General features: G+C 38.5%; 1 protein-coding gene across 3 annotated transcripts in view, besides 1 other annotated feature; it reads right to left on the reverse strand.

Moving 5' to 3' along the window:
• OTUD7A (OTU deubiquitinase 7A) overlaps positions 1-19233 on the reverse strand; it is a 395276-nt gene that overhangs the window by 55239 nt on the left and 320804 nt on the right. For all 3 annotated transcript variants that reach the window (NM_001382637.1, NM_130901.3, NM_001329907.2), the window contains one exon: positions 71-172. In NM_001382637.1, coding sequence (NP_001369566.1) covers positions 71-172 — 102 coding nt within the window. The remainder of the gene's footprint in view (positions 1-70; positions 173-19233) is intronic.
• Positions 7440-7978: an enhancer, noted in NCBI's record as "H3K27ac-H3K4me1 hESC enhancer chr15:31830279-31830817 (GRCh37/hg19 assembly coordinates)". NCBI's record gives its function as "activates a minimal SCP1, AML or CMV promoter by ChIP-STARR-seq in naive H9 embryonic stem cells {active_cell/tissue: H9 hESC(naive)}" and the evidence as "EXISTENCE:reporter gene assay evidence [ECO:0000049][PMID:30033119]".

Consider the following 19233-nt stretch of genomic DNA (forward strand, 5'->3'; position numbering starts at 1 on the left):
TCAATAGCATATGTCTTTCCTTACGCAGGCCTGGAGCCTGGCCACCCTCTGTCTGTGCTGTGGAGCTTACCCAGTGAAGCAGCATGTAAAAGGCAGTTCCCATCCCCTGTTGTGGCCAGAGGAAGAAGCCGTTTACAGCTCGTGCACACAGTGGACCACCAGTTCAGGCGACCTGGAAAAGAAGCTCACTTTAGAACAGGATCCCAGAAAAGGAAGGGGCCACTGGGGGTGTTTGCTAAGGAGGCATAAACATCAGGGACAGATTTTCTACAGGTTTCAATAGAAAGGGGGAACATTATGGCTACTTCTCTCCTCAAATAAAATATAGATTTCTTTTCCCTTTGAGGACAAGAAGTGGCCAAATCCTCCCATCAATTAGCATGAGCATTAAGAAACTCAAGGCCAGCACCTTCTCTCCTTGAATCTGGAAACGTATTTTACACAAGATAAAACATTTCTTTGTAATTTCCTTGAACACAGCTTTCCCTCCTGAAAGCTATTTTTTCCTTTCACCGTCTTGCTTTTTTGAGGCACACATACCTTTGAAAGTATAGTTCATATTTCATTTGATTCATCAAAACCATTATAGTTACATAGGTGTAGTTATGTTAAATTTCATGAATATTTACATTTAGAGACTTCCACTTCAGGGAAGATAGATCAGATGTACTTTTTCCTATTTCTCTTACTAAGTACAACGAAAAGCCCTGGAAATTATGTATAAAATCATATTAGAAGACTCTGAAAAGTGGAGAAGAAGTGGCAGACTAACTAGGGATCTTGAGACTTGAGGAACGACATAATGGTGGGTTCCCTGGAGTTTCTTTTTGCCTCACATATCCCAGATTAGATACTGTAAAAACGAACCAATGAGAGTAGGCCACAAAAAAAAAAAAAAAAAAAAAGATAGAAAAGAAAAAGCATGCTCTCTCTAGACAGAATACCAGGAAAGGGGTAGCTTAGCAAAACAGTAGCTGCTTAGACATTTCCTCTTCTATTCCAGCCAAACATCACAGAAAAAATTATAACCCGACCACCACCCCTGCCAGCAAAGTTCTAGTGAGAAGCCTAGACTTCCACCCTCACCAGGCTGTAACAAGGTGCTCATCACTGCCTGCTCCATCACCTGGGGAGTGTCAGAGAAGGCTGAGTACAAAGCCAAGACCTCAACCCCACTGGGTGGTAATAAGCACCTTGCCCTCTATCTTCAGAGGACACACAGGGAGCCTGAACTTTCACACTCATCTGGCTGTAATGAGAATCTCTGCCTCCTCTCAGCTAGGAAGTACCCCTGCCAAGAAGTACCAAGCCCATTCCCCAGGTATCAACAGGGGCAGAGGGGGAACCTGTACTTCAATTACCCTCTGGCAGTTGTCAGGCAATGGCCCCCTGAACCTACCAGAGTGGTGTCAGGAGGTCCGCTAAAACACAAGATTTAAGTAAGACCCAGAGTCCTATAACTTAATACCAAATATATACCCTTTTAAACAAACAAAAAAAATCACTTATACCAAGAACCAGGAAGATTTCAAACAGAACAAGAAAAGATATGAAAACTGAGATGACAGATGTTAGAGTTATCTGACTGGGATTTAAAAGTAGTCATCCTAAGAATACTTCAACAAGCAATTACAAACATACCTAAGACAAATGAAAAATTAGAAAATGTAGTAAAGAAATAGAAAGTCTTACCAAAACAATAGAAGATACAAAACAGAGCCAAATAAAGAACAAAAATATGGGCAGATATAATAGGGACTGAAAAATACAACTCTGATTTTAAAAACTCAATGGATGTGCTGAAAAGCAGATTGGAGAGAAGAGAAAAAGAATCAGTGTAATGTAAAGGTATAACATAGAAATCACCCAATTTGAACAACAGAGAAAAATTAAACTTAAAAAAAAAAACACATATACAGAACACAACTCAGGAACATGTGGGACTGCGACAAAAGTCTGGAGTCCGTAGAAGAGGCGAAATAAGGTAGAGCTAAAAAAGTATTCGAAGAGGCCAGGCGCGGTGGCTCACGCCTGTAATCCCAGCACTTTGGGAGGCTGAGGCGGGCGGATCACGAGGTCAGGAGATTGAGACCATTCTGGCTAACACGGTGAAAGGTGAAACCCCGTCTCTACCAAAAATACAAAAAATTAGCTGGGCGTGGTGGCGGGCGCCTGTAGTCCCAGCTACTCGGGGGGCTGAGGCAGGAGAATGGCGTGAACCTGGGAGGTGGAGCTTGTAGGGAGCCGAAATCGCGCCACTGCACTTAGGCCTGGGTGAAAGAGCGAGACTCCGTATCAAAAAAAAAAAAAAAAAAAAAGTGTTCAAAGAAATAATCACTAAATCACTAAAAGGTTCCCAATTTTTGCAAATGAACAAACAAACATACAGATTCAAGAAGCTGAGCAAACCCTAAACAGAAAAAAAACCCATAGAAACTCATGCCAAAATACATCATAGTCAAACTTCTAAAAACTAAAGACAAAGAAACCTTAAAAGCTGCCAAGGAGAAACAACGCCTTACTTATATGGGAAAAACAATTCTAAAGACAGTGCATTTCTCATTGGCTACCGTGTAGGCCAGAAGGAAGCAGGATAAATTTTTTTTTTTTTTTTTTTTGAGACAGAGTCTTGCTCTGTCACCCAGGCTGGAGTGCAGTGGTGCAATTTCAGCTCACTGCAACCTCTGCCTCTTAGGTTCAAGTGATTTTCCTGCCTCAACCTCCTAAGTAGCTGGGACACAGACATGCACCACCAAACTTGGCTAATTTTTGGTATTTTTAGTAGAGATAGAGTTTTACCATGTTGGCCAGGCTAGTCTCGAACTCCTGACCTCAAGTGATCTGCCTGCGTTGGCCTCTCAAAGTGCTGGAATTACAGGCATGAGCCACCACGCCCAGCCAAGATAATATTTTTTAAGTGCTGAAAGAAAATAACTGTCAGCCCAGAATTTTAAAGCTAGCAAAAATATTCTTCAGTAATAAGCAAGGAGATTTTGTTCCTAGCAAGCCTACCTTAAAGAAATGGCTAAAGGAAGTTCTCTAGGCAGAAAGGAAACGATAAAAGAAGGCATTTTGGCATATAAAGAAGGAAGAACATGGAAAGAACAAAAATATGGGCAAACATAATAAGACTTTCCTTCTTCTCTTGAGTTTTCTAAATTATGTCTGATGGTTAAAGCAAAAATTATGACATTGCCTATCTGTTTATATGTTTCAATGTATGTTGAATAAATATTTAAAACAATTTTATTATAAATGGTAGAGAATAAAGAAGCAAAAAGGCAGGTAAGGTTTATATGCTTCACCAATAGTAGTAAAATGTCAACACCAATAGACTTTGATAAAGTATGTGTATATAATGTAATAACTAGAACAATTCCCAAAAAGGTTATACCAAGAGGTATACCTAACAACAACCAATATTACACAAGCTCCTCCAGAAAATAGCCAACATTACCCTGATACCAAAATCAAAAAAAGTACAAAGAGAGAAAAGTGCAGAGTAACATCTCTCATGAATATGATGCAAAATTCATAAGAAAATACAAACAAGTAGAACACAGTAACATATACAAAGAACTATATACCATGACCAAGGGATGCAAGGATGGCTCAATATTTGAAAATCAATCAATATAATTCACCATATTAATGGGCTACAGAAGAAAAATCACATAATCATATCATGAATACAGAAAAAGCATTTGACAAAATTCAATACTCATAATTAAAAATTCCCATAAAACTAGGAATAGGGGGATCTCCATAACTTGATTTAAAAAATCTACACAAACATACAGCTAACATCATACCTAATGGTGAAAGACTGAATGCTTTACCTCTAAGACTAGGAAAAAGACAAAGATGCGCCCTCTCTCCACTGCTATTCAACATAGTATGAGAAGTCCTAGCCAGTGAAATAAGTCAAGAGAAAGAAATAAAATCTGTATTCGCAAATCAGAAAGGAAGAGATAACACTATTCTTCTTAGCAGAGAACATGATAGTTCACACAGAAAATCATAAGGAAGCTACAAAAAACCATAACTAATAAGCAATTTTTTAAGGTCACAGGATACAAGATCAATATACACAAATCAATGGTACAGTCATCCCCAAGTATCTGCACAGGATTGGTTCTGGGACCCCGCCGACATACACCCAAATCTGTGTATACTGAAGTCTGATAGTTGGCTCTGTGGAACCTGTATGTCTAAGAAGTTGGCCCTCCATATACATGGATTTTGCATCCTGTGAATACTGTAATTTTGATCCTCACTTGGTTGAAAAAAATCCACATATAAGTGGAAGTGGACCTGTGCAGTTCAAACCTGTGCTGTTCAAGAGTCAATTGTATTTTGCATACTAGCACAGATGTCTAAGGGGCCATGGAGCAACTGGAGTTTTCATACTTTGCTGTTGGGATTGTAAAAAGGCACAATTATTTTAGAAAAACTTTTGGCAATTTCTAATACAGTTCAACATACTCTGATATCGGTTTGGCTCTGTGTCCTCACCCAAATCTCATCTTGAATTGTAATGCCCAGGTGTCAAGGGAAGGACCTGGTGGTAGGTGATTAGATCATGGAGGCGGTTTCCCCCATGCTGTTCTCATGATAGTGAGTGAGTTCTCATGAGATCTGATGGTTTTAAAAGTGGCAGTTTTCCCTGTGCTGTCTCTCTCCTGCCACCTTGGGAAGAAGGTGCCTACTTCCCCTTCCCCTTCTGCCATGATTGTAAGTTTCCTGAAGCCTCCCCAGTCATGCTGAACTGTGAGTCAATTAAACCCCTTTTGTTTATAAATTACCCAGTCTGAGGTAGTATCTTTATGGCAGTGTGAAATGGACTATTACCTACCTTTACCATATGACCCAGCAATTCCACTCGTGGATATTTATTTACCCAAGAGAAATGAAAACATAAGACTCATATAAGAAATTCAGAGCAGCCTTATTTCTCAATAAAACTAGTTGCTAACACATCTGGGACTGTGTCTCTGAAATAAATAGCCATTGGGAGTTACCTTGGGTTCTGTTTTTGTTTTTTTTTTTTTTTTTTTTGAGACAGAGTCTCGCTCTGTCACCCACGCTGGAGTGCAGTGGCGCGATCTTGGCTCACTGCAACCTCCACCTCCTGGGTTCATGCCATTCTCCTGCTTCAGCCTCCCGAGTAGCTGGGACTACAGGTGCCCACCACCACGCCTGGCTAATTTTTTGTATTTTTTTTTAGTAGAGACGGGGTTTCACCGTGTTAGCCAGGATGGTCTCAATCTCCTGACCTCGTGATCCGCCCACCTCAGTCTCCCAAAGTGCTGGGATTACAGGTGTGAGCCACCGCGCCTGGCCGGGTTCTGTTTTCTAGTGAACTCATGTCAAGACATCTTCATTCACTCTTTCTCAGGAAGCTTCAGGAGGATGTACTCCACAAAATGAGGGTGGAAACCAAAACCAGAGAAATACAGGAAACAGGAGGGAAATGGGTGAATAGCACAGAAGCGAGGCAAAGGTAATCTCCAGGCTGATGGCTACAGGAGACTCTATCCTACCTGATGACAGGTGCATCTGCACTCATGGCTGCTTTTCAAAAGAATGTGTCTATGGAAAGGATAAATAGCCTGGCTCATTTACATGTTAGGCAGGTGACACAAATGTCATCTTACATGTCACTTCTTGGATAATACTAAAATTGTTTAAAAATTGCTTCAAGCTTATGAGTGGTTGTATCAAGCTTCTAATGTTATGTGAAACTTCTAGTGACATATATATGTTTTTATTTGGAGGATGAAATATAACATGCACCTCCCTAGGGCCTTCAACACTTTGGGAACTTCAATCAAATGAGAATGTTTATAATAGATATTTCCAAGAAATTATAAAAGCATTTTAATCAAAAATTCTTTAAAAAAGAGAGAAATATTAATAGGATTTGAACAACTGAAGAAGCAGAACATGTTTTACATTTCTACATTCCATCTGTCAATGGCTAAAGAAAACGTGTAAATACACAGGAGAATACTATTCAGCTATTAACAAGAATGATGTCATTCATTTGCAGCAACATGGATGAAACTGGAGGTCATTATCCTAAGTGAAATAAATCATGCACAAAAACACAAATATTGTATGTTCTGAATTATATGTGGGAGTTAGAAATGTGATCACATAGAGGTAGAGAGTGCAAAGACAGATACCAGAGACTGGGAAGGGTGAGTGGTGAGGGACGATGAAGAGAAGTGGGTTAAAGGGTACACACATACAGTAAGATGGAATACATTCAATGTTGGATAGCAGAATAGGGTGATTCTACTTAACAAAAATGTATTGTACTCGGGTGATGAACACTCTGACTCAATCACTACACATTATATACATGTAACGAAATTTCAGATATACCCCATAAATTTGTACAAATAAAAATATCTAATTTTAATAAAAGGTGTTGTTTCTATCAGAATAGAAATAATGAAATATGAAGGATAAAGACTGCGAGTAAGCTTGAAAATTAAGGCCCTCAGGAGTATATTTATTTTAGAGTCAGACAGTTATTGCCTAATGTGTTGCCATATTAACAAAGTTTAATATAAAAAAACTTCTTGGTTCTTTGTTTAAACTGAATCCTTATCCACTCTTCAGCGCTTTTTGGTTAAGATTCAGTGATTCCATTGTAATAAGTGGCATTACTGATAAAAAATAACTGCGCCCTTAATTCTAAATAAAAGCATGTATTAAAATTAACACTACAAAGTTAAGTAGACGAACATCTATTTATTATATGAAGATGTTAATGCTTACACTAACAAATTGGTATATTCTTACCACCTACAAGTCACCTTATTAAAGCTAAATGAGAAATGCAAGTAAGGGCTTTAACTGACACTACCACTGGATGGACCGTTGTGGACGTCATTGGAAAAAACACGCAGTTACTTAGTCACTTCTTTGTCTCTAGGCTGTGAAATAGCAACCTGTCTCACTTGACTTTTAAAAAGTGTTTATAACAACCAGGCTGGGATACAGTAAAACTGGGTTGCCACAGAGTAAAATAAAATGGCAGGATCTTTGCTTACAAAGGCATAAAACTCAACAAAATGGCTGTAACACCTGGAAATCCGACACATTTGACACCAAAGTGGGCAGCCTTGTTCATCCTCTGCATTGATCTCAGCTGCTAGTGCTCTGGGCAACCATCAGGGAGTATAGGGAACATGAGTAGACAATCAGGGAGAGGAGGGACAGGGAATATGCTAATGAGGCAGGTGGTCTGCATTTCTGCGGCAGACCTCGTTGTCTTGCCCGCCCCACAGCGTTTCCCTCCCATCCTTGCTGACAGCGCCCTGCTTGTGTCTGGGGCTTTTCAGGCAAGCCTCCTTGCCTGCCCCATGGGGCAACGTGCAAATGTTCATACGTCCAAGACGATCTGTGCAATTCCACTCCCCTTGCCATGGACTGCTGTCGCCTGGCTCACAAGATGTAACAGGAGACCTGCTGGGGCTTGCTCCTCCTTCACAAGGGCCACAATCAGGGGCTCTCTCTTGCTGCCCTGAATGATGCAGTGTGAGGATGTGTGGCCTGATGCGGCCACAGCTACACTGCATCCCCAGCTGGAGCTAGCACTGACCCGCTGGGGAGAGAAGAGCAGGGTGCTATGTGTGCCTGGGTCCTCCATAACACTGTGCAGCTGCCAGCCCTGCCATGAACATCCCTGTTTTCAGACTCTGAGTTGTGTGGGATAATGATGACCTCACAGTTTAAGCTCCTGCTGGCTGGGTTAGTGTGTTCTCCTGCACACTGCAGGACCTTCAATAAATCAACCAGCTCTGTGTCAGGGGATGTTATTCCCATTTTACAGAGAAGGAAACTGACGCTCACAGGGAGTAAGTAAACTTGCCCACGATCCGCTGACCCTTAACAGGAGCCCTCACACATCCAGGACAAAATCAGATCACAAAAAAGGCCAGTCTAATTTTGTTTGTTATGGTTGAGTTTGTGGCAAGCCAATTTTAACTTCTCTGACCTATATGATTTCAAAAGCCGTATTACTGAGTAACGAGCAAAACTGGAGCTCAAATTTTGTAAAGTGCCAAAAGAAACACACCCATCACCCAAAACCAAATGAATGTCACCCCTCTGCCATATTTGCACCAGCAGGTTCCTTTCAACATAAAAGAAAAGAAAAACGAGTAAAGATCAAGCTGAAGTTCCCTCTATTTGCCTCCCCCATTTCACTCTCATTCCTTCCTCCCTCGCTGTAACACCAACATGAATTTGGCAATTTTTTTCATTATATCACATGAAGACAGTATTTAAAAATACATTATATATTCAAATCTTCAGATAAATGATACTATTAAATGCTGACGAATATGTGCTGTACACAATGTTTATTCCTCTGCCACCGGTTCTGGGGAGGCGCTGGCTTGGCCTCTCCCCTGCAGTAGAGACTGAGGATTCTTCTTTAAGACTTCTGACTTGTTATTCCTAGGTGGGGAGTGGCTATCCAATGGGTCCATATAATGAGCAAGTGCCTCAAATCCATGTTATCCCATTCCTCCCATATTCCTTCCTCCCCACACCCCAATTCCTTTCCCTTGAGCTTTCTCTCTCCCCAACCTGGCTCACTGCCAGTGTCTAGGCATAGCAGGACTTTCCCCTTCCTATCCCTACAGACTGTGCAGATCAGCAGGGCCTCTGCTTGTTCCAGCCTTTATTACAGATATAAGGAGAGTAACCCAGGGTCATATGACCCCGAGGTCTACACTTGGGAGAAGGGTGAGGAATTAACCCCACTGGAGCATTCAACAATGAGATATGACCATTGTACGTGAACTGGCTGGGAATCTTAAAATATCCATTTTCATGAAAAACAAAAGAAGAGAGAATGTTTTTCAAAAAGTGCATAAAGAGCCATAACAACCAAATGTAACGCATAAAGTTGGGTTTTTTGGAATGAAAATAAATTACAAAAATGACTTTGGGGCCAATTGGGAAAATCTGAGTATGGGCTCTACTAGTTGACATTACTAAGTTAGTGCTAATTTTCTAATGCTGTTAAGTCATATAGGAGAATGTCTTTATTTTCAGAAGAAGTGAAGTATCCACAATACACATTCAAATGATTCAGAAAAAGTGTATGTACTTCCATACACATAAAGAGAGATAAAGCAAATGTGACAAAGTCCCGAAAACTGGTGATTTTTGGTGCAAGATATATAAATACTCATCTTCCAATTTTCCTGTAGATGTGAAGATGTTCAAGACGAAGGAAATGGCATGTGGGTTTACTCTATAGTCTTACAATGGAGACATTCTGTTCTGGTGCCAAAGACAATTTCTATGTAAATTAACTCATTTGTCTCGATTAAGTTTTAAAAATGGGTTGAATTCAGTTAAAAATATTTTGGGCGAATCTAACTAATGCAAACTAATGCTAGTTTGACTAAATTTTTCCGCTGTTTCAATAGATTGAGTTGAAATTTTTAGTTTGGTTATAATTTTCAATTTTTTTGAAGGCACAGAGCCCTGAAGCTAATAGGTGACTTCTCTGAAGTGTCTTCTGTCAATCCCCTCTACACCATAGCAAGCAGCATTGAAAAATCACCACACTTTCCATGGCAGACACGCTAACCAATCATCACTCTTCCCACAAAGGAGGTGAAAGACCTGATTTCCCTTTTCAATTCAGAGGTCTGTGCAATAAAGACCAACTGATTCAAGTTGAAAATGAGGATGAAATAGTGGGCTTTGGAACACCTACCCTTGCAGAATCTGGACTAGAGTGTCTAAGGTAGTCATCAGAGAGGCAGCCAGCAGACTGGTTAGGCACAGAAGCTGGAGTTAGACTTCCTGGGTTCAAATCTCAGTTCCACTATTTCTTAGCAGTGTGGTGTTGGGCAACTTACTTAACCACTCTGTTTCAGTGTTCAATTCTTAAAAATGGAGATAATAATAGTCCTGATCTAACAGAGTTTTTATGAACATTATATTATTTAATATTGGGAAAGTACTTAAGATAGGGCGTGGCATATAGAAAGCCCCATATATGTATTATGCATATACAGGTCCAAAATCCTGAGTTAAATAAAGGAGTATATTTATGCATATACTAATGAATGAATGAATGAGTGAACCAAAATGCTTTGGCTTAAAAGGTACCTTTATACACCAAAGTCCTTTTTAGAGTAAGCACAACTGCTCTGACATTCATGCAAGAAAGACTATGAACTGCAAATAAAGGGAAGCTTTTGCACACAGAGTGCCTGGTGCTGCTTAAAGGGAGGTCAGCTGGTGCACAATGAGGCAAGTACAGAAAATGGGAGGAAGTGTTTAGGAGCTTTTATAGCAATGCGCTTTGCTGTAATATTTTTATTAAATTTTATAGAAGCATAGGGAGACAGTGAATTGGAAATCTAAAGAAAAGAGTTGTCCTTCAACACAGATTGCTTGAGAAGCACTGTCCAGAGGTTCTCAGAAATGCAAATTACACTCTTGAATTGGGTAGACATCTAAATACAGCATGTTAAATTTTTTTTTGCCTACATTCATTGGTTAGATTGTAGTATTAGGATAAAAAAGATTTAAAGAAAAAAGTTGAGTAGATCTTCGGGAAAAGGAACCATGTGAGGAATGTAAGGAAAGACCTGGCCTTTAGGTGTTAAGCCTAATGAACCAAAGAAAGCAACTTTTAAAAACCAATGAAAAGATTTCTTATATCCCTACAAACCCTCATTGATTTTTACTTTTGTTAGTTACTCTATGCTTATTTATTCCTGATTTCTCTGTAATACTTAGCAAAAAATAATTTAAAATAAGATCTTGTGTGAATGCGTGTAGCACTGCAGATAAAGTAGGGGCTGAAGGCTTTGTCTCTGGTCGTTTGAAAAGAGAAATCCCTCTCCCTAAGATGAGCAGGAGGGCACAGATTTAAAGAGGAAAAGAGGTCAGAAAATAAAAATACTTATTTTCAATAATCCTTTCAAATGTATATCCAAGCTTGAAAGAAAGTGTAGTAAATCTCCAACAACCGGAAATAAATATGGGATGGAAATTAGTATGCACCAAACCAGCAACTGCCAACGAGTGAAGACATTTAACTGTTTAATCACTTCATAAGAACTCGAAAAAAGGCTGGAGACCCTGAAATGTGGGGAATTGGGACTGGGGATGGCCTTTTCCTTCCATATAGAGTTAGGATCCTCAAAAACTATATCCTGAATGCAAAGATTAGAAATAATTTTGCTCTGGCAAAGGCAGTTGGGAAGAAAATTTGTCTCTTTTAGCCTAGGCTTAGCAGAGGAAAATAAAAACTTCCCCGGAAATGTTGACTGTCATGAAGACTTGACCTAAATTGATTTGTGGCTTGGAACCAGTAAGCCAAGAAATTAACCTAAAATTGGTTCTAAGTACCAAAGGTAATTCCTCTTGGGAAACTGGTACAAACAAACAAACAAAAACAATCTCTCTAAGAGGAGTACACTCTCAACACAGGCCACACAAGAGTCCCACATATAACATCCTGCTCACAACCCAAAACTACAAACACAACAGAAAACAAGCCACTGTGAGTAAGAGTCATACACACAAAATCAGCAGTTTATAGATACCTATAAACTTGAGGTTAAAAATGATTAGAGACTGTAAACAAGCATGTTAAAAATGTTTAAAATACACAAAAGAATTAAACAAAATATGACCAAAGAATAAGAGGCAGATTTGGAAAACACATATAGAACTTAAAATGAAAGATATAAAAATTAAAGTAAAAAAGTAAGAATCAGTTTAATATCAGGTTGGACACTGTTGAAGGAAAAAGTTAATACATTTGAAGATAAGTAAGAAGCAACAAAGAGGGAAAGAGAAAAGATGCAAGAGAGTTTATGAGACATAAGAATAGACTGAAAAGATCTAACATTGTCCAATCAAAATTCAGAAAGGCATGAATCAGGCAATATTGAATACTGACTGAGGATTTTCCAAAATATGTAAAAATAAACTCACAGATTTTAAAAGTCTAAGACATTCTAAGAACAATAAAATTAATGTCTTCCTTAACATATCCTAGTGAAACTGCACAATATAAAAGACAGGGAGAAAAGATGTTAAAGCACCTAGAGAAAGAAAAAAACCAGATTATCTTCAAAGGAGTGATAGACTGACAGCCTACCTCTTCAAAGGAACAATGGAAAGAAGAAGCCAAAAAAAAAAAAATCTTCAATGTGCTGAATGAAAATAACTGGCAATCTATAATACTAGACCCATGAAAAGTGTTTTCAAAAAATGAGGGCAAAACAAAGACATTTTAAGACTAACAAAAACTGAGAGAGTAAAATTAGCACTCACCTAAAGAAACTGTAAAGGATGAACTTCAAACAGAAGGAAGATCTGACATGCAAGAAGAAATGAGGAGAAACAAAAAAGGTAAGCATATGGGTAAATCAAAATGAATGTTGACTATATAAAACACTAATGTCTGATGAGATTAAAAGTATACAACTAAAATAAATGACAACAACTTACAAAACAGGAGAGAATAAGGATGAATAAAACTAAACTACTCCAAAGTCCCTGTCTTGCCTGGGTGTAAAGTAGGTTAAGATGTTAATTAATTTGAGATGTGATTCATACGCATATTTTAGGGGTAAACTCTTAATAATGGAAAGAGAGGGTATAACTTCAAAACTTGTAGAATTTTTAAAAAGACATGATTAAACAATATTTAATTGATTTAAAAGAAGATGTGTAAGGAGAGAATAAACACCACATTGAATGGGGGAAAATGGCAATTGCATTAAAAATAAATGCACCTGTTAAAAGACAAAGGCTGTGAAACTGATTTTATGAATAAATTAACTACATGCAGCTTGCAAGAGATAAATCTAAAACAGAGGAATACAAAAGTGCTATAGGTAAAGGTATGAAAGGTGGCAAATGGTACATCAGGAATGTTTTAACTTACGGAAAGCTAACATAGCTGAATCAATAGCAGATAAAATAAATCAAAAGGCAAAAAGCATTAGTAGAATTTAATAAGCACCCTCTACACTGTTCAACTGCTCAATTCATGAGGAAGAAATCAGTTTAATTGCTGTATTCAATAACATAGCATTATATTTATGCAGGATTAAAAATCCATAGGAATAAAAGGAGATATAGACAAGTACTCAATCATGATGAAAGATTTTAACACATCTCTATCGGTAATTGAGAGAAAAAGTAAAAAATAAACCAATAAATGTACAGAAGATGTGAAAAACATAATAAATGACCAAATGGACAAATACAATGCAGCCAAAACAGAAGACTAAACATTATTTTCAAGCACACATGGAATGATTTTAAAAAAACTGATCATATTCTGAATCGTGAAGCAAAGTTCTCAAGAGATTTCAAATCATACAGACAATGCTTTTTGTCCACAATGGAAGTAAGAAATCTATAATAAAAATAACTAAAAATATTTAGTAGTTTTTACATACTTGCAAACAAAGAAGCACTTACAATAATTCATGGGTCAAATAATAAACCAAAATGAAAATCAGAAAATATTTTGAAACCATGTAATAACAAAAATATTACATTCCAAAATTTTGGGGATATAGCTAAAATAGTATGGAGAAAAAAATTAATAACCTTAAATACTTGCAAGAGTTAAAAAGAAAGGCTAGGAATTAATGAATTAATCATCCATGTTAAAAAGTTACAAAGGAACAGTGATTAAATCCAAAGTAGAGGGAGAAAATAATATAGATCAGGAGTCAGTAAACTTTGGTCTATAAGAGGTATAGAGGGAAGGGAAAGAGAAAGAGAGAATGAATATGTGATAGAGAACTTACATGGTCTGTAAAGCCTACAACTAGCTGTTAAATATGAAAGTAAAATAATGCCATTTTCAGACAAATGAAAACCTGAGACTTCACTGCCATCAGGGCTGCATCTAACAAAACTTTAGTTTTGTTATTACACCAGGATGGTGTAATAATTCTAAGTGTCTATGCATCCACTAACACAGTTTCAAAATATATAAAGCAAAAGATAACTAAGGAAGAAACAGAGAAACACAATCATAGTAGGAGATCTTAACACACCCTGTTCAATAGCTGGTAGAATAAGTGGACAAAAACTTAGTGAAGAATAGAAAAGATCTGAGCGACAAAATTAACAAACTTGATATAATTAACATATATAAAAAGTACTATACCTAAGAAGGACAGAATTCAAATTTTTTTCAAGTGCACATAGAATATTTATTAAGCTTAATTATATGCTGGGTCATAAAGCAAGTCTCAACAAATTTAAAATGTCTGAATTCATTCATTATACATTCTTTGACCACAGAAGAATTAAGCTAGAAAAAAAAACTCCTAGAAATATCCCCACAGTGATTAAGCAACATATTTCTAAGTAATTTATGAGTCAAAGGAAAAATTATAATAAGTATTTAAAATGATTTAAACTTAATGATAAAGAAGAATAACATCAAAATTGTTGATGGAACAGAACAGACCCAGAATCAGACCCACACCTACACAGTCACCTGCTGTATCTCAAGGTTACACTGCAGCATAATAAAGAAAAGATGATTTCAATAAATGGTACCATGTCAGGTTGATGAATATATGGGAAAATGGACTTTCATTACATAGCACATCATTTATGAAAATCACTTTTAGGTGGATTATAGATTTAAGTATGAAAGGCAGGAGAATATTTTCAGGACCTTGGGGTAGGCAAAGGTTTCTTAAGCTGAAATAGAGGCTCTCAAGTAAGGGGAAAAAAAAGGTAAGTTGAACTATTTTAGTCATGATCTTCTGTTCATCAAAGTGTATCAGTCAGTGAGTGAAAAGGGAACCAGTAGGGTGGGTGAAGATATTGGCAATACACACCTGACAAAGGTCCCATATCTAGAATGTATAAATAATTCCCACAAGTCAATCAAAAAGGCAATCTTAAAAATGGGTAAAAAACCTGAAAAGGCACCCAACAAAAGAGGATATGCAAATGGCCAATAACATGAAAAGTACCTAATTTTACTAGTCATCAGAAAATAAAAATTAAAACCACTGTGTGGATACTCCTACACTTCCAACACAGTAACTAAAACAAAAAGACAAAAAACATGGAGCAACCAGAACTCTCAACAGAGGAAGAGCAACTGGTACATCCACTCTGGAAAACTATTTGGACAACTGTTATAATGCTGAACATATGTAAATCCTATGATCCAGCAATATCACTCCTAAGTACAATTGACCCTCTGTTATCTGTGGGTTCTGAATCTGCGAATTCAACCAACTGCTGATAGAAATAATCCAGAAAAAAAAATTCCATAAAGTTCCAAAGAGTAAATCTTGAATTTGCTGTGTGCCAAATAGTATGTCAAATCCACATGGATGAAATGATGTAGGCATTGTGTTAGGTATTACAGGTAATCTAGAGATGATTTAAAATATATGGGAAAATGTGAGTAGGTTATATGCAAATAGCACACCATTTTCTACAAGGAACTCGAACATCTGAGAATTTCAGTATCTGGAGGGTCCTGGAACAAATTCCCTATGGATACTGAGGGATGACTGTATATATCTTTAGAAATGTGTTCATGGCTTACCAGAAACCTGTACAAGAATGTTCATAGCACCCCACTTTTATTATAATAATGACAAAGTTGCAACAGCTTGTTATGGACTGAATGTGTCCCCTCCAAATTCACATATTGAAATCTTAATCACCAGTGTGGCTATATATGAAGACGAAGACTTCAAGGAAGTAATTTAAATTCATTAAATGAGGTTATAAGGGTGGGGCCCTGATCTCCCAGAATTAGTGTTTGTATAAAAGACTCTAGAGAGCTTCAACTCTCAAACTGTCCCCCACCCCAAGGCATGCACTGAAGAAAGACCATGTGAGAATACAGTGAGAAGGCAGCCGTTTACAAGATAGAAAGAGAATCCTCACCAGGAACTGAATTGGCCAGCACCTTGATCTGGGACTTCTAGCCTCTAGAACTGTGAGAAAATAAATTTCTGTCATTTAAATCACTTGGTCTATGGTATTTTGTTATGTTAGCCTGAGCTAAGACACCAAAAAATCCATCAATAACATAATGGAGAAGTTATTTGTAATACATGTATATACATTGCAGTGCAATACACCAATGAGAATAAATAAGCTATATGGTAATTACACAACTCTATGAATGAATTGCATAAGCTTAATGATAAGCAGAAGAATCCAGAACTTAACCCATTCATGATTCCATTTATATAAAGCTCAAAAAGAGGCAAAATAAACCTATGCTATAAGAAGTCACTTTTCTTGATGTGAGTTTCTTGTCTGAGTCCTTGTTATAGGATGTGATCTGTTCTACACTTATGATTTGCACACTTTCCCACATGTACATTTCAATAAGGAATTAAAACAATGAAAGGGTAATGGGTCTAGCTCCAGAGATGACTCTAAGAGAAAAGACAGCTGGAAGCTGCTTGAACCTGAGATGACATTTTGAAGGCAAAGAAAGGATTCAGGTGGTGAATCTGCTGGATGGAATGTCTTCAGAAAACCCCAATTTGCAAATATTTTCACCTCATTTTATTTTTTCCATAAAATGCAAAAGAGTATGTCTGAAATATTTAAGGGGTACCTTAGATGCTGACTGAGTCTATAAACAAGGCTACAACATAAAACTGTGACTACATATTGTCATTAATATATGCTTTAACATCACATGTTTCTTATTTTTACCCAGAATTGTTGAACAGGCTGGCTTCTCATGGATCTGATACACTGCCAGTTTTATTTTACCACTTCTTAAGACATCTAAAGGTTCTATTTTCTAACCCTTCCTTAACTCCCACCTGAACACATGCTTTTCATTTCCAATACCTAGATTAACAAACAGATTTCTATTTCTTCCTCACAAAAATAAAAGTGAGAACATAATGACAATGCAATAGTGACTTAATGAATATTTTTTGATCTTACGAGCTCTGTTACAGCAGATTCATCACATGACTTGCTTCCAAACTTCAGTCTTGGTGGGTAATAGCTCATCAGTAACATTATGTATCCCTGCATTTTACAGGACTGTTAAAGAAAAATAGAGGCCCCAGTTCAGACACACCCCAAGGCCAACCACCTATAACCATGTAGCCAAAACTTAAGTCATCCTGATTTCCCCGAGATATTAGCTCTAATCATAAACAAAACACAAAACATTGGCTAGTCCACATGATTCAGTGAACCAGCTGTAGACAAATCAGCTTAAACTAACTCTGTTTGCCCTAAAAAGAAGGTTAATGTGTAACAGTCAGTCACAAAAATGGTCAAAATGCTTCCTCCTTTACGCTTTCTCAGCTGTGCTGGAACTGCCGCAAGGTAGGCTTCTTGCCACGCTTGGTCTGAAGTCTCCTGGGCTTGTGAACTGTTCTTCTGTACGTACCATATACTCCTAAAAATTTGATAACTTCATTTGATTTTCTTCCTGACAGGACTTGGGGATCAGTCACTCTGTGTGAGGAGTGTTAAATGTAAAGCTTGGGGACTGCCGTGATTTGTGGGCCTCCCGGGCCACCCCCATCATCTGTGGGCGCCCTGGGCCACCCCCCTTCACTTTGCCTCTGTCAGATGTTCCTGCGCGGTGCCCTCAGCAACGTGTCCCTCTAGAATTGTGTAACTCGGCTGCTGGCTTTCTACTTGGCCTCTCAAAGAGTGTTCCTTTGGAGATTTTCTCTGGTATTGGTGATTTATTCTTTTAAGAAAATCCAATAAATCATGCAATTCATATTTGGAATGGGTCACGTGGCAGAAAGTATCCTGAGGGAAAGGATGACAGTTCCCAACGCTCTGAGCTGAACTGAGGAGGTCTCGTGGCATGGGCAGGATGAGGACATTTCACAGCCAGGCAGCCATGGGCAAACCCTTCGGCTTCCCCAAGTCTCTTCTGCCTGTTCTGTAAAATGAAGAGCATCTTGGCAATTGCATGCAGCCGATGTGAGATCTGGACATAATTAAAATGGCGTATAATACACCTAGCACATAGGAGATCCCCAATACGTGAAGGCTGCTATTATCAAAAGCATAGTTGCCATAGTGCCCACCCCATCCTATCCCAGATGACCACATCCATGGTTCTGATTGTCAAAAGAGCCCAATCAAAGGGTATGATATCTTTGGAGGGCTCAGAGACAAGCTGTTTGAAATTTGAAGCCATCAAGAGTAGAATTCTGGCTGGACACAGTGGCTCATGCCTATAATCCCAGCACTTTGGGAGGCTGAGGTGGGTGGATCACTTGAGGCCAGGGGTTCAAGACCAGACTGACCAACATGGCAAAACCCCATCTCTACCAAAAATATAAAAATTAGCCAGGTATGGTGGTGCATGCCTATAATTCCAGCTACTTGGGAGGCTAAGGCAGGAGAATCGCTTGAACCCGGGAGACACAGGCTGGAGTGAGCTGACATCGTGCCACTGCACTCCAGCCTGGGAGACAGAGCGAGGCCTTGTCTCAAAAAAAAAAAAAAAAAAAAAAGTAGAATTCAGTCCAAATGCATGCCTGCCTCTAGGCACAGTGTGCTGTAACATACCAATCCAAGTGAAATGGTTAAAAGTGGCACATCAGGAAATCAAAAAAATTCCCCTGACCACAACATATTCAGTATGATTTAATCTCTCATTCTGGATCTTTTAGCATAGAAGAATTATCATACTGCAAGTAATGACACTGTATCTGTGGCAGGCAGAATTCTAAAGTGGTCCTCAGATTCCCACCTCCTGGGGTGTACTCCTGTGTCATCCCTTTCCCTTGGGTGTAGGTGGAACCTGTGACTCCGACGGGATGTCACTCCTGTGATTAGGTTATAATATGGGGTAAAGTGAGGGGATTTTGCAGATGTAATTACTTTACTATTCACTGACTCTGAGTTGATCAAAAGGGAGATTATCCTGGGTTGGCCTGACCTAATCTGAGGACCAAAAGAGGGTTTAGTGGTCAGAGAAAAGGAAAGTCAGAGAGATTTACAGAGAAAGGGCAGATGGTAGAATATAAAGGGAATACGGAAGAGGGAAGAGGGAAAGGGGGAGAGAGGAGAGATTCTCTGGCTGGTCTTGAAGCAGTAAACAACTGCCATGCCAAACAGTAAACAACCCAAAGCAGTAAACAACTTCACTGCCATGCCATAAGAAGAGAGCTAGACGGCAAGGATGTGGTGTGGGGTCCTGGATGGCTTTGGACTGACCCCGTT

The sequence above is a fragment of the Homo sapiens genome, chromosome 15 (assembly GCF_000001405.40).
Source record: "Homo sapiens chromosome 15, GRCh38.p14 Primary Assembly".
In the NCBI taxonomy this organism is placed as follows: Eukaryota; Metazoa; Chordata; class Mammalia; order Primates; family Hominidae; genus Homo; species Homo sapiens.